Below are 14,639 nucleotides of genomic sequence, written 5' to 3'. Positions count from 1 at the left end.
TTGCAATTTAACATGTTAATTGAAACACATGTATATAACATTTATGACTGTATTGTGTATATGTAACAGTATATCTATTAATCTTTGAAAACATAAAACCTTTTCTTATTTTTTATTTTTTTATTTTTTTTGAGACCAAGTCTCTCTCTGTCGCCAGGCTGGAGTGCAGTGGCGTGATCTCGGCTCACTGCAGCCTCCACCTCCTGGGTTCGAGTGATTCTCCTGCCTCAGCCTCCCGAGTAGCTGGGACTACAGGCCCATGCTACCAAGCCCAGCTAATTTTTTGTATTTTTAATAGAGATGGGGTTTCACCATGTTGGCCAGGATGGTCGCAATCTCTTGACCTCTTGATCTACCTGCCTTGGTCTCCCAAAGTGCTGGGATTACAGGCGCGAGGCACTGCGCCTGGCGCGCCTGGCTTTTTTTTTTTTTTTTTTTTTTTTTTGAGACGCAGTCTCGCTCTGTCGCCCAGGCTGGAGTGCAGTGGCACGATCTCGGCTCACTGCAAGCTCCACCTCCCGAGTTCACGCCATTTTCCTGCCTCAGCCTCCTGAGTAGCTGGGACTACAGGCACCCGCCACCATGCCTGGCTAATTTTTTTTTGTACTTTTAGTAGAGACGGGGTTTCACCGTGGTAGCCAGGATGGTCTCAATCTCCTGACCTAGTCATCCACCTGCCTCGGCCTCCCAAAGTGCTGGGATTTACAGACATGAGCCACCATGCCTGGCCTTTTTTTTTTTTTTTTTTTTTAATGAGCTTGCATAACTTTCGAAAGGAAAAGAAATAAGCAGTCTTCCAAAAAAACATTAAACCAGGCTTAGAAAGATGATTAATTTTAGAGAAGGATTTTTTGCTTGGGGAGGGAGAAAAAAGATTCATTACTTTTAGAGAAGGCCCCTCCTTCTAATATAAATCTTTTTTTCTTTTTGAGACGGAGTTTTGCTCTTGTTGCCCAGGCTGGAGTGCAATGGCGCCATCTGGCTCACTGCAACCTCCGCCTCCCGGGTTCAAGCGATTGTCCTGCTTCAGCCTCCCGAGTAGCTGGGATTACAGGCACATGCCACCACGCCCATCTAATTTTGTATTTTTAGTAGAGACGAAGTTTCTCTATGTTGGTCAGGCTGGTCTTGAGCTCCTGAACTCAGGTGATCTGCGCGTCTCGGCCTCTCAAAGTGCTGGGATTACAGGCAGTGAGCCAGCATGCCCTGCCTAATATAAATCTTTTTATTTTTATTTGAGACGGAGTCTCGCTCTGTCACAAGGCTGGAGTGCAGTGGCGCAATCTCAGCTCACTGCAACCTGTGTCTCCTGGGTTCAAGTGATTCTCTTGCTTCAGCCTGTCACGTATCTGGGATTACAGGCACACACCACCATGCCTGGCTAATTTTTTGTATTTTTTAATAGAGATGGGGTTTCACCATGTTAGCCAGGATGGTCTCGATCTTCTGACCTCGTGATCCACCCGACTCGGCCTCTCAAAGTGCTGGGATTACAGGCATGAGCCATTGAGCCCGGCCTGTAAATCTTTTAAAAACACCGTTGATAGACAGTTCACATGTTAAGTGCTAATATTTGCTCAGTAGAAACTTCTGTGTTCATAAGGAATGGATTAGTGAAAATTAATGGATTTAGTGAGGTTCACTAGGTAATACAAACATTAAAAGGTTCTTATAGAAATTCTCAAGTAACTGATAGTTCTTATTTTTATTTATTTTATTTTTTTTTGAGATGGAGTCTCACTCTGTCGCCCAGGCTGGAGCACAGTGGCACGACCTCGGCTCACTGCAAGCTCCGCCTCCTGGGTTCACGCCATTCTCCTGCCTCAGCCTCCCGAGTAGCTGGGACTACAGGCACCCACCACCACGCCTGGCTAATTTTTTTGTATTTTCAGTAGAGATGGGGTTTCACCGTGTTAGCCAGGATGGTCTCGATCTCCTGACCTCATGATCCGCCCACCTTGGCCTCCCAAAGTGCTGGCATTACAGGTGTGAGCCACCGCACCCTGCCAATAGTTCTTATTTTTAATGGAAACTTTAAAATTTATCTGTCTGTGTGTCTATTAGAGTCTTGCTGTGTCACCCAGGCTGGAGTGCAGTTGCGTAATCGTAGCTCACCGTAACATTGAACTGGGCTCGAGCTTCCCAGAGTGCTGGGATTATAGGTGTGAGCTACTGCGCACAGCCTACAATTTTTTGATATGTAGTTTTGGGAGGCAGAGTCTCACTCTTGCTCTGGCTGGAGTGCAGTGGCATGATCATAACTCACTGCATCCTCGAACTCCTGGGCTCAAGTGATCCTCTCCTGCTTCAGCCTCAGCTCAGTAGCTGGGACTACAGGTGCCTGCCACCATGCCTGGCTACATTGTTAAATTTTTTGTAAAGACAAGGTCTTGCTATGTTTGCCAGGCTGGTTGGTCTTGAACTCCTGGCTTCAAGTGATCCTTCTGCCTTGCCCTCCCAAAGTGCTGAGATTACAGGTATGAGCCACCACACCTGACTGTGAACTTTTAATCATAATAAGTTAGTTTCCCTCTTAATCCATTCACTCAGGTCTCCTTTCCTAGATGACAGCTACTGTTAGGAGTTTCTTGGGTGTTCAGAAATATTTTTTGCATATGCAAATGTGCAATACATTCTTTCTCTGCTTTTAAAAAATATTGTGCCTCAGTGTGGGTGTGCTTTACCTATTGCCAGATGCCTTGCTTTTCTAAATGTTTCTTCATTGTTCCACTTCAGCACAGAGATACCTACCTCAGTCTTTATTAACTACCACATATTTCTGTAGAATGAATATATAATAGAAACATCTTAGATGCTTGTATTTTATTTGATCAGTTTATTTTAAAGCTTAATGAACAAATGATTATAAGCATAAAATGTAGGTTATGTGCTGGCATTTGGGTATTTAAGAATTGGCTAACTTTTATGGCAAGATTTTCAGACTCTTAATCAGAGGAATACTGTGGTTCTAGTAAGTGCATCTGCATTGCAGCTAGGTAGTTAACAAAGTATCTTGAAACCTTTTAGTTAAGATGAGGAAATAGCCAGGCGTGGTGGCTCACACCTATAATCTTAGCACTTTGGGAGGCTGAGGCGGGCGGATCGCTTAAGGTCAGGAGTTTGAGACCATCCTGACCAACATGGTCAAACCCCATCTCTAGTAACAATACAAAAATTAGCCACGCATGGTGGCGGGTGCCTGTAGTCCCAGCTACTTGAGAGGCCGAGACAGGAGAATTGCTTGAAACCAGGAGGCGGAGGTTGCAGTGAGCCGAGATCGTGCCACTGCAGCACTCCAGCCTGGCGACAGAGCGAGACTCCATCTCAAAAAAAAAAAAAAAGGAAATAGTGAATTGAGATGATTTGATTGAGTGGATTCACAACTAATTAACTGGTCACAGATTCAACTGTTGAATAATTTTGTAAAAGAGGCCGGGTTTATGAATTGAGGTCAGTTTGAAAACAAAAAGAATGATGTCAACATTTTGTTTCTTACTTTGTGTGCTCTTTTCAACATATAGATGACAAACTTTGACATGATGTTTAGAAAACTTGTGAGTAAAAGGATAGGCGATACGAATATTTCTAAAATTCAAAATCAGAAGCTTTTAGGTTCATAAATCATATATTTTGAAAAATGAGCATGTTTGGAAAGAATTATATATACATGGTTTAAAATTCTGGCGGCTCTTAAGAATATGCTATGAAGACTCCTTTCTGTTCCCTAGTTATTTACTTTCTCCACCCCCAAAGAAACTAATGTTATTGCTTTCTTGTGTGTTCTTCAGGAAATGTTTTATGCATCTCCAAGTAAACACACATATATCCCCTGTCTTTAAAAGAAGGAGGAAAACATTTGAACATTGCATTTACTTTATTTCCATTAACTGTATCTTGGAGATGTTTCCATGTCAGTATATATAAAGGGCATTCTCATTAGTTTGGATGCTTGCATATTATTCCATTGTATGGATGTACTGTAGTTTTGGAGTTTTTAAAACCAGGGTCCTAAAACCAGGACATTAGCTTGCTTTTACTTTTGTTTTAAATGCTACTTCAAGTAATTTAGCAATGATTAACTTGTGCCATGAATTCCTGAAAGAATTGCAGTATCAAAGTATATCTGTGCATTTATAATTTTTAGAGCTGTTGCCAAATATCTAACCCTAAAGAGGTTGTATCAAATTACATTTCCACCACCAATTAAGAAAGTGGTGATAGAATTAAAAGCCGATGCTCTAGTCACCCATATAGTTACTTTTGGCATGTTTCTAGTAAGCGGGCATTGCCTATGACTGGACGTTTTCAGTGATGGACATTCATTACTTTTCAAGATAGCCCAGTGCATCTTTAGGTGGTTTGGCTCTTGGTACTTCCTTATATAGAATAAAAATATTCTTCAAGCCTTCTACCTGTTGGTCTTGTTTCTTCTTTTGATGATTTCTTTTATAAAATAATTTTAATATTTGAAGGCAGCTGTCACGTCTTCCCTTCGCCATTCTATTCATCATGCTTTTTTTTTCTTCCATAGGTTATTGCATGAGGATCTCTTTAATTTCCTGGTTGTCCCATTTATTCTAGTGCTATCCCCTATTATCCATACTCTGAAAATGTGTTATCTACAATGTGGCATTTCCAAGTGTCATTTCACCTGTGCTTTTTAAAGTAGGGTGTCATATCTACTCAAATAGGACAACATCTGCTGTTGTCCTATTTATGCAGGGTAGAAAAGTAATGTAATTAAATTTTCCATTTCTCTGAATGTAACATGAATGTGCTTTTAGTAGAAACTAATTTCTCAGAGCTGCTCTGTGTATGCTTTTTTTTTTTTTTTCTTTTTTTGGAGATAGGGTCTCACACTGTCGCCCAAGCTGGAGCACAGTGGCATGATCATGGCTCACTGCAGCCTTGACCTCCTGGATTTAAGTGATCCTCCTGCCTCAGCCTCCTGAGTAGCTGGGACCACAGGTGTGTGCCACCACGCCTGGCTAATTAAAAAAAAACTTTTTTTAGAGATAGGGTCTCACCGTGTTGTTCAGGCTGGTCTTGAACTCTGGGCTCAAGTGATCCCCCCACCTCGGCCTCCCAAAGTGCTGGGATTACAGGTGTGAACCAACATGTCTGGCCCCTCTTTTTTTTTTTTTTTTTTGCGATGGAGTCTCGCTCTTTCACCCAGGCTGGAGTGCAATGGCGCAGTCTCGGCGCACTACAACCTCTGCCTCCCAGGTTCAAGCTATCCTTGTGCCTCAGCCTCCCGTGTAGCTGGAATTAATAGGTGTGTGCCACCACGCCTGGCTCTTTGTTTTTTTTTTTATTATTTTTAGTAGAGACTGGGTTTCACCATGTTGGCCAGGCTGGTCTCGAACTCCTGACCTCAAGTGATCAGCCCACCTTGGCCTCCCAGAGTGTTGGGATTACAGGTGTGAGCCACCACGCCTGTACCTGGCCTATCTTTCATAGGTTATATAAATTCCTTGGTTCCCAGTTTTTGCAGTCTTTTCCAATTCAGTTTAATTAATGGTTAACTGTTTATTCATTATCAAAAAAAGTACAGTGTAATAGATAAGACCATGTTACTATTAGAAGTATGGGTATCATCAAATTAAGATTTTTGATTCTAAAATTATTAGGTTCCAAGACCAAAGATTAAATTAAGAGAAGGTAAAGCTGGACAAAATCTGCTGGAAATGATGGCCTGTGACCGACTGAGCCAATCAGGTAATAGTAATATTAAACTAATTTAATTTAAAAAGAAAAAGGAATTTCTGTTAAGGCATATCTTATGATAAAATCTTCATCTGTCCAGGAGATAATTTGTCAAAATTATTTCTTTTTGCCGTATCAGTTAAGAGCAATAGGTATGGAAGAGATGCGAAGAAATAGCACATTCTTTTAAAAAAATGAATATTTGATATTGTTTGTTCCTATGTGGAGAGGATTTCTTAACTCTTTCTTCATCTGGCTGCTAGAGCCTCTATCCTGAATATTTAGTCACTTCCTGAACTAAGTATAATTATTGATTTGCCAACCATTTAACACCAGCTGATTCTAAAAACACTGCTGTGGGGATATAAAGATGAAGAAGATACGGATCTGTCTTAAAGAGCTGAGAGCATAGTGAGGAAGATAGAAGATATATACTTACCTTATATTAGGCTCTTGGAATTTGTGGATTTTTTCCCCCATTTTTGGCTTGGGATGAATCCTAAAGGTCTGTTGCATATTACCTGTGATTTTGCTAAGATACAAACTTTAAGGTAGTTAGATGGCCATTGAATCAAGCAGTGAACTGAAGAAACATAATGCTTTCTATAAGGAGCAGTTTTGATATAAAATTGGATGAATTTTGTAAAGAGCAAGATGTAATATTAAATCAAAGTTATTATAAGCTTTGGTGTATAGTTAGGCTGTTGGCCAGAGCTCACATTGCTCTTTTATTCCATAGCCCACTTTTTTTGTGGGAGTTAGGCTTTCAGTCCTTAAAGTGACTTTCTACTTTTTCCCTTTTCTCTTTTCCTTCTACCCTTGCAGGGCTCTCATAAGTGCCTTTGCATGGTGTCACAGTTAGATAAAAATTGCCTGTATCTTTTTTTTATGTCTTTGATCTGGGCATTCCGAGGGTGCCTCTGTAAGTGTGCTGAGACACAACTGTGTAGTGGTAACCAAACCTAATTGCCCAGCAGAATTAACTCGAAGGAGGGTTTTTAAAAAAAGTTCAATTGAAATATAATTCGTATACCATACGCTTCACCCATTTAAAGTGTACAGTTCAGTGGCTTTTACTATGTTCATAGAGTATTACCACTGTCACCACAGTCAGTTTTAGAAGATTTTCATCACTCCGTGAGGAATTCCTTACCTATTAGCAGTTACTCCCCATTTTACCCAAACCTCTCAGCCTTGGCAACCGCTAATCTGTCTCTGTAGGTTTGCCTCTTCTGAACATTTCACATAAATGGAATCATAGTATGTGGTCTTTTGTGACTGGCTTCTTTGATTTAGCAAGGTTTTCAAGGTTCATCTGTGTTGTAGCATGTATCAGTACTTTATCCGAGGACTATGATTTTTTGATTGCTTACTGTAAACCTATGGCATAAAAATCTCTGGGAACAAGGCCTGGAAATAATTCTTTTTTTTTTTTTTTTTTCCTGAGACAGTCTTACTCTGTCGCCCAGGCTGGAGTGCAGTGGCGTGATCTCGGCTCACTGCAAGCTCCGCCTCCCGGGTTCACGCCATTCTCCTCCCTCAGCCTCCCCAGTAGCTGGGACTACAGGCACCCGCCACCAGGGCCGGCTAATTTTTTTTTTTTTTTTTGTATTTTTAGTAGAGATGGGGTTTCACTGTGTTAGCCAGGATGGTCTTGATCTCCTGACCTCATTATCCACCCAGCTTGGCCTCCCAAAGTGCTGGGATTACAGGCATGAGCCACCGTGCCCAGCTGGAAATAATTCTTAAAAGCTGTTTAAAGGAGGATTCTGATCAGCCAGGTTCAGAAATCAGTGTATCAGATCAGAGAATAAGAGCTTGTCCCTGTTCTCCTATGGCCACTTAAATCCAGACCTTTTCATCTAAAGTGCAAATATGTTTGGCATTTTTCATACACATTCCTGTCTTTTTTCCCCGTTCTGCTGTCTTATGTAGATACTGAGAATATTAAACCTGTACTCTTTTCATTTGCTACATAAGCACCCATTTTGTTGTCCAGCTGTATTTTTTGGGTTGGAGGGTTAGGTTTGCAATAATCATGTTATTTCCCCTTTGGGTATACAAATGAGACAACGTGAGCAAATACAATCTGTATTTTTAAAGTGATGGAAATAACTTAAATTTTTTTTTCAGGGCACATGTTGCTAAGCTTAAGTCGTGGCAAGCAAGATTTCTTAAAAGAGGTTGTTGAAACTTTTGCCAACAAAATTGGGCAGTCTGCGTTATATGATGCTCTGTTTTCTAGTCAGTCACCTAAGGATACATCTTTTCTTGGTAGCGATGATATTGGAAAAATTGATGTACAAGAACCAGAGCTTGAAGATTTGGCTAGATACGATGTTGGTAAGTTATATGTTTCAGAGGAAATGGTCTCCGTCTTAATTCTTATAAATTGCCCATAATCTTATTACCCAGAAATAACGACTTAATATTTTCCTGTATTCCTTTTGTGTGTGGGTTGGGCTGGGGGGAGTTTGAATGTGGTGCTGTGGGGGTGGCATGTATTTTTTGTTGTTGTTGTTGTTGTTTTTGAGACCAAGTTTTGCTCTTGGCGCCCATGCTGGAGTGCAGTGGTGCGATCTCGGCTCACTGTAACCTCTGCCTCCCTGGTTCAAGTGATTCTGCTGCCTCAGTCTCCCAAGTAGCGGGATTACAAATGCCCGCCACCACGCCCGGCTAATTTTTTGTATTTTTAGTAGAGACGGGGTTTCATCATGTTGGTCAGGCTGGTCTCAAACTCCTGACCTCAGGTGATCCACCTGCCTTGGCCTCCCAAAGTGCTGGGATTACAGGTGTGAGCCACTGCGACCAGCCTTGTTGTATTTTGAGACAGGGTCTCGCTGTGTCACCTGGGCTGCAGTGTAGTGGCATGATCGTAGGTCACTGGTGCCTTGAACTTCTGGGCTCAAGGGATTCTCTTGCCTCAGCCTCCTGAGTAGCTGGTACCATAGGCACATGCCACTCGGCCCAGATAATTTTTTTTTTAATTGGCAGAGACAGGGTCTCCCTTTGTTGCCCAGGCTAGTCTCCAACTCCTAGGCTCAAGTGATCCTCCTGCTTAAGCCCCCCAAAATGTTGGGATTAGGCCCGGCACAGTGGCTCATATCTGTAATCCCAGCACTTTGGGAGGCCGAGGCGGGCAGATCACCTGAGATCAGGAGTTCGAGACCATCCTGGCCAACATGGTGAAACCCCGTCTCTACTAAAAATACAAAAATTATCCGGGGGTGGTGGCATGTGCCTGTAGTCCCTACTCAGGAGGCTGAGGCAGGAGAGTCCTTCAACCCGGGAGGTGGAGGTTGCAGTGAGCCAAGATCACACTGCTGCACTACAGCCTGGGCGACAGAGCGAGACTTCGTCTCAAAAACAAAAAGTGTTGGAATTATAGGCATGAGCCACTGCATCTGGCCATATTTTTCATCTAAATGGTTGTTTATGTATGATTTATCTTGCTTCCTTCATGAATTCTCTCCCATAGTCTGTGTATTAAAACTATAAATATCACTTTTATTGGCAATATAATCTTTTTTATGAAGTAGTCATAATTTGCTTGCTACTTTCTGTTATTGGGCATCCAAGTTTTCTCAACTTTTCCACTGTTAATAATCATACTCTGATAAAAACTTCAACAAAAAGTGTCTTCATTGCAAGTTATTTCCATAGAGATACCTAAAAACAGAATTACTGAGACAAAGGACATGAACATCTTTAAGTCTTGCAAATTGCCAAAATGACAGAAAGATTATACCTCTTCATGCTTCCAGAAGCGCATAACCTTTTCTTTTCTTTTCTTTTCTTTTCTTGTTTTTGAGACAGAGTCTCGCTCTGTCACCCAGGCTGGAGCGCAGTGGCGCAATCTCGGCTGCCAGGTTCAAGCAATTGTCTTGCCTCGGCCTCCCAAGTAGCTGGGACTATAGGCATGTGACACCGTGCTCGGCTAATTTTTTGTATTTTTAGTAGAGACGGAGTTTCACCATGCTGGCCAGGCTGGTCTCGAACTCCTGACTGCGCATAACATTTTCAATATTGACTTTCTTGTAGAAAAACAGATTTCTTTACTGTACCGATGGATTAATATAGTGGTGTTCCATTGCTTTAATGACTTAAAGCAAAACCCATTGTTTTGGGGTTTCTTATTAGGTTAGGTGTTCTTTATTTGGCTTTTGTCAGTTGATTTTGGTTTATTGAGTTCTAGTCAGTGTCATTTTTTAAGATGGACTTAAACATTCTTCATCACTACTATTTTTATTAAAATTTCTAGAAATAATCAAGTGAGAATGCATTTAATAAGAACATGAGATTTTGCCTAACATAGAATTCCCTCCAGCTTTGATATAGAAAAGCAGTTATATAATTAAGATATATATAATGTGAATTGTTTATGTTGGCAAAACTAATGGCACAAAGAAAAATTTCAAACCCTTAAGCCAATTTTTAAATTTTATTTCAGGTGCTATTCGAGCACATAATGGTAGTCTTCAGCATCTTACTTGGCTTGGCTTACAGTGGAATTCATTGCCTGCTTTACCTGGAATCCGAAAATGGCTAAAACAGCTTTTCCATCGTTTGCCCCATGAAACCTCAAGGCTTGAAACAAATGCGCCTGAATCAATATGTATTTTAGATCTTGAAGTAAGCAAAGATTTTAACAAATTAAATATTCTGAATTTTGTTTAATTTTTTTTTCTAACTTAACTTTTCCTTAAATGAAACAGGTATTTCTCCTTGGAGTAGTATATACCAGCCACTTACAATTAAAGGAGAAATGTAATTCTCACCATAGCTCCTATCAGCCGTTATGCCTGCCCTTTCCTGTGTGTAAACAGCTTTGTACAGAAAGACAAAAATCTTGGTGGGATGCGGTTTGTACTCTGATTCACAGAAAAGCAGTGTAAGTAGTAAAACAAAAATATTGCTTTCACTTAGTGCGTAGGTTTTACCGGGGATTTAATCCTCGTGTGAAGATTTAATTTGTCATGTGACCCATTAACATATATGTATGTAAGCGCTGAACTGTGTATTTAGAAAGCAATTTTAGTAAATTGAACTATTTTTTAGACCTGGAAACTTGGCAAAATTGAGACTTCTAGTTCAGCATGAAATAAACACTCTAAGAGCCCAGGAAAAACATGGCCTTCAACCTGCTCTGCTTGTACATTGGGCAAAATACCTTCAGAAAACGGTGAGTTTTAAAGTATAAGCATTTTTAATGAACATTACCTTAATTTTTTAAAATCATGAACTTTTTATTGAAAGTTTTTTTGTTCTGAAAACAGCAGCTTGGTCATATTATGACAGATGTGTTTTTTATTGCTGCAAAATAGTTAATGTAGTTAAATATAAGCACTTAGAGGAGCAATGCCTGGCACACAGTGAATGTTACATATTAGCTGAGCTGTTACTGTTATTCCTTAATAATTAAGTTCTGATAATTATTCAGCCTGAAAATTAAAAAAAAAATTAGCACAAGGCTTTGTAGGTAAGACCATTATAGATCTTTCTAAATATTTAAGGTGTGTTTTGTGTCACCATTAGGTGTAGATGGTCAGCCTTTTGAACAAACTGACACTACAGAAGAGGCAGGTTTCAGCTATCTAAAAAGGACAACTGTTAAAAAGTAGTTTGGATTGCTACGTTAGAGTGGTATCATTAGAAGCATTTAAAAGTTGAGTGTAGAGGCCGGGTGCGGTGGCTCACACCTGTAATCCCAGCACGTTAGGAGGCCGAGGCGGGCAGATCACAAGGTCAGGAGGTCGAGATCATTCCTGGCTAACACGGTGAAACCCCGTCTCTGCTAAAAATACAAAAAAAAACTCTACTAAAACTACAAAATTAGCCAGACATGGTGGCAGGTGCCTGTAATCCCAGCTACTTGGGAAGCTGAGGCAGGAGAATTGCTTGAACCTGCACGGCAGAGGTTGCAGTGAGTTCACTGGTATTAAGGTGGTTTAGTTATTACAGTATTTGGAAGTTGAACAAATGACTATTGAGGTACCATTTGGTTTTGACTTGAAATTTTAGCCAGTTCTTACAACTTGTAAATGAACTTTAGATCTAATCATGCGTGTTCCTTAAAGTTGTGTGCTTTTAACTTTCTTTTTTAGGGCAGCGGTCTTAATTCTTTTTATGGTCAACTAGAATACATAGGGAGAAGTGTTCATTATTGGAAGAAAGTTTTGCCATTGTTGAAGATAATAAAGAAGAACAGTATTCCTGAACCTATTGATCCTCTGTTTAAACATTTTCATAGTGTAGACATTCAGGTAACAGAGTTCCTTTATGAATTTATTGGAGATGGGAATTTCCAGTTTATAAACAAAGACGTGGAGCTATAAACTGCTTAAATTAATTGCCTTGTTATTTAACGGTAATCTTGTTTTCTAAATTCACTAGCTCTCACAGATAAGATATGACAGAGAAGAGTAATGAGATGTTTGTCTCTTAAGATCATATAAAATCTTTGGAAAATCATTTGGGTTTTATATTCTGAGTATAAACAATTTGACTAAAAACTATTCTATGTGTTTAGGCATCAGAAATTGTTGAATATGAAGAAGACGCACACATAACTTTTGCTATGTTGGATGCAGTAAATGGAAATATAGAAGATGCTGTGACTGCTTTTGAATCTATAAAAAGTGTTGTTTCTTATTGGAATCTTGCACTGGTAAGTAGATGCAGTACTTGAGCTAAAAGTTGTATTTATTTATTTATTATTTTTTTTAAAAGACGGGGTTTCTCTGTTGGCCAGGCTAGAGTGCAGTGGCACAATCTTGGCTCACTGCAACCTCTGCTTCCCAGGCTCAAGCGATTCTTGTGCCTCAGCTCCCGAGTTGCTGGGATTACAGGCATGAGCCACCATGCGTGGCCAAGCTGAAAGTTTTTTGTTTTAAAAAGCTAATGATTTCATGAAAGCACTATTTGTATAGATTTTTCACAGGAAGGCAGAAGACATTGAAAATGATGCCCTTTCTCCTGAAGAACAAGAAGAATGCAGAAATTATCTGACAAAGACCAGGGACTACCTAATAAAGATTATAGATGACGGTGATTCAAATCTTTCAGTGGTCAAGAAAGTAAGTAGCAGGTTGTTGTATGTACGTTCTTACTGATAACCCACTGGTCAGTGTTTTTGCGTTGGTCTTATATTTTGGTAATTTCAAAAATACTCAGTAATATGTTGTTATTAATGCACAGAAGGGATGCGTGTGTCTAAATGCTTAGATTTGCTTGCTTTGTCTTAGGTTTGGTGTGTCTTTTTAAACTTGGGAATCTAGGTATATGCTCTTAAAAAGTACTTCTTGGGGAATTAGAAAAGATTTCTAAGATAAGACATTGATTTTGTTATCTTAGCAGTGTAATCAAAACAAATATTATAACCTCAGGACTAATTCTTAATGAACTTTGCTGAAATTGAAAGTTGTTGCTGACAACTTAAGAGCATTTCTTCTCATCGTCATCAGCCATTATGAACGCCCTTGTTTTCTTGCTGTCAGCTGTTTGAGATTGTCATGATGATGTTAAATTATGTTCAGTCTTCTGAGTGTTTTGTTGATTAATTTGTGTTACTACTCTTTTATTAGGATTTATGTTGTCTGGTGTATTGTAGCATCTGTATTTCTGTCACCATTGAAAATCAGTTAGAAAACATCAGTAACTTATTTTGTTCACTTGGAAAAGCTTTCCAAGTTAACATTCCTCTACAATTATCATGGTTAACAGAAGTAATAGAAAGAGCATGGACTTTAGAATCAGAAGATGTTAGACTGTACAACACTTTTCTGTGTTCCTGAAGAAAAAAATAGAATAAAGACAAAAAAATAAAAATAATAATACAAAACAACAGAAAAACAAAGAAAAAAGATAATTAAAAAACACTTTCACGTGTATTATTATTTAAAGTGTAAAGTGCTTATTAAAGTGACAAAAATGTAAATAAGATAAAATATATCATTTTAGAGTTTTTACTTTTGGAATTTTTTGCAAATGAAAGCCCTTAATTAATGTCTTTTATTTTTAGTTGCCTGTGCCCCTGGAGTCTGTAAAACAGATGCTTAATTCAGTCATGCAGGAACTCGAAGACTATAGTGAAGGAGGTCCTCTCTATAAAAATGGTTCTTTGCGAAATGCAGATTCAGAAATAAAACATTCTACACCGTCTCCTACCAAATATTCACTATCACCAAGTAAAAGTTACAAGGTAAACAGGAAAGAATGGAATCATTTCATTGTGAAATTGTTTCTGTTCTAAGTGTTTTAAATGCTGTTTTGTTATTTTTATTTTTTTTTTCAGTATTCTCCCGAAACACCACCTCGATGGACAGAAGATCGGAATTCTTTACTGAATATGATTTGCCAACAAGTAGAGGCCATTAAGGTAAGTCACTTAATTTCTCTAGCTGTACTTTTTATTCCAAGATTCCTTCCCTGGCTACTCTCTCACTTTTTTTCTGAAGCTGGTCAGAATGTCCCCTTGCCATCCAAATAGTATGGCAAGGGGACATTTTGGTCTTTTTTTTTTTTTTTTAAGACAAGGGTCTTGTTCTGTTGTGCAGGCTGGAGTACAGTGGTATGATCACAGCTTACTGCGGCTTCAACCTCCTAGCTCAAGAGAGCCTCTTGGCTCAGCCTGCCACGAAGCCAGGACTACAGACAGTCACATGCCACCAGGCCCAGCTAATTGTTGTATTTTTTGTAGAGATGGGATTTTGCCATGTTGCCCAGGGTGGCCTTGAACTCCTGGCTCAAACAATCCTCCTGCTTCAGCCTCCCAAAGTGCTGGGATTGCAGGTGTGAGCCACTGTGCCCAGCCTACATACCTCGGTCTTGACCCTTTACCATATTTTGTTTTGTTTTGTTTTGAGATGGAGTCTCACTCTGTTGCCCAGTCTGGAGTGCAATGGTGTGATCTTGGCTCACTGCAACCTCCACCT

At 39.7% G+C, this 14,639-nt stretch overlaps 1 protein-coding gene across 19 annotated transcripts in view; it reads left to right on the top strand.

The window, feature by feature from the left end:
• Positions 1-14,639, top strand: part of RGPD6 (RANBP2 like and GRIP domain containing 6) — a 97,255-nt gene that overhangs the window by 53,615 nt on the left and 29,001 nt on the right. For 18 of the 19 annotated variants that reach the window (NM_001384362.1, NM_001384363.1, NM_001386155.1 and 15 more), the window contains 10 exons: positions 5,631-5,718; positions 7,840-8,049; positions 10,157-10,338; positions 10,422-10,597; positions 10,765-10,888; positions 11,811-11,969; positions 12,236-12,373; positions 12,636-12,782; positions 13,727-13,906; positions 14,000-14,083. In NM_001384362.1, coding sequence (NP_001371291.1) covers positions 5,631-5,718; positions 7,840-8,049; positions 10,157-10,338; positions 10,422-10,597; positions 10,765-10,888; positions 11,811-11,969; positions 12,236-12,373; positions 12,636-12,782; positions 13,727-13,906; positions 14,000-14,083 — 1,488 coding nt within the window. The remainder of the gene's footprint in view (positions 1-5,630; positions 5,719-7,839; positions 8,050-10,156; positions 10,339-10,421; positions 10,598-10,764; positions 10,889-11,810; positions 11,970-12,235; positions 12,374-12,635; positions 12,783-13,726; positions 13,907-13,999; positions 14,084-14,639) is intronic. The other variant, NM_001386163.1, reaches the window with a different exon arrangement.

The sequence above is a fragment of the Homo sapiens genome, chromosome 2, assembly GCF_000001405.40.
Source record: "Homo sapiens chromosome 2, GRCh38.p14 Primary Assembly".
In the NCBI taxonomy this organism is placed as follows: domain Eukaryota; kingdom Metazoa; phylum Chordata; class Mammalia; order Primates; family Hominidae; genus Homo; species Homo sapiens.
The sequence above is the reverse complement of the archived record's forward strand: the minus strand, read 5'-3'. Positions and strand labels throughout refer to the sequence as shown.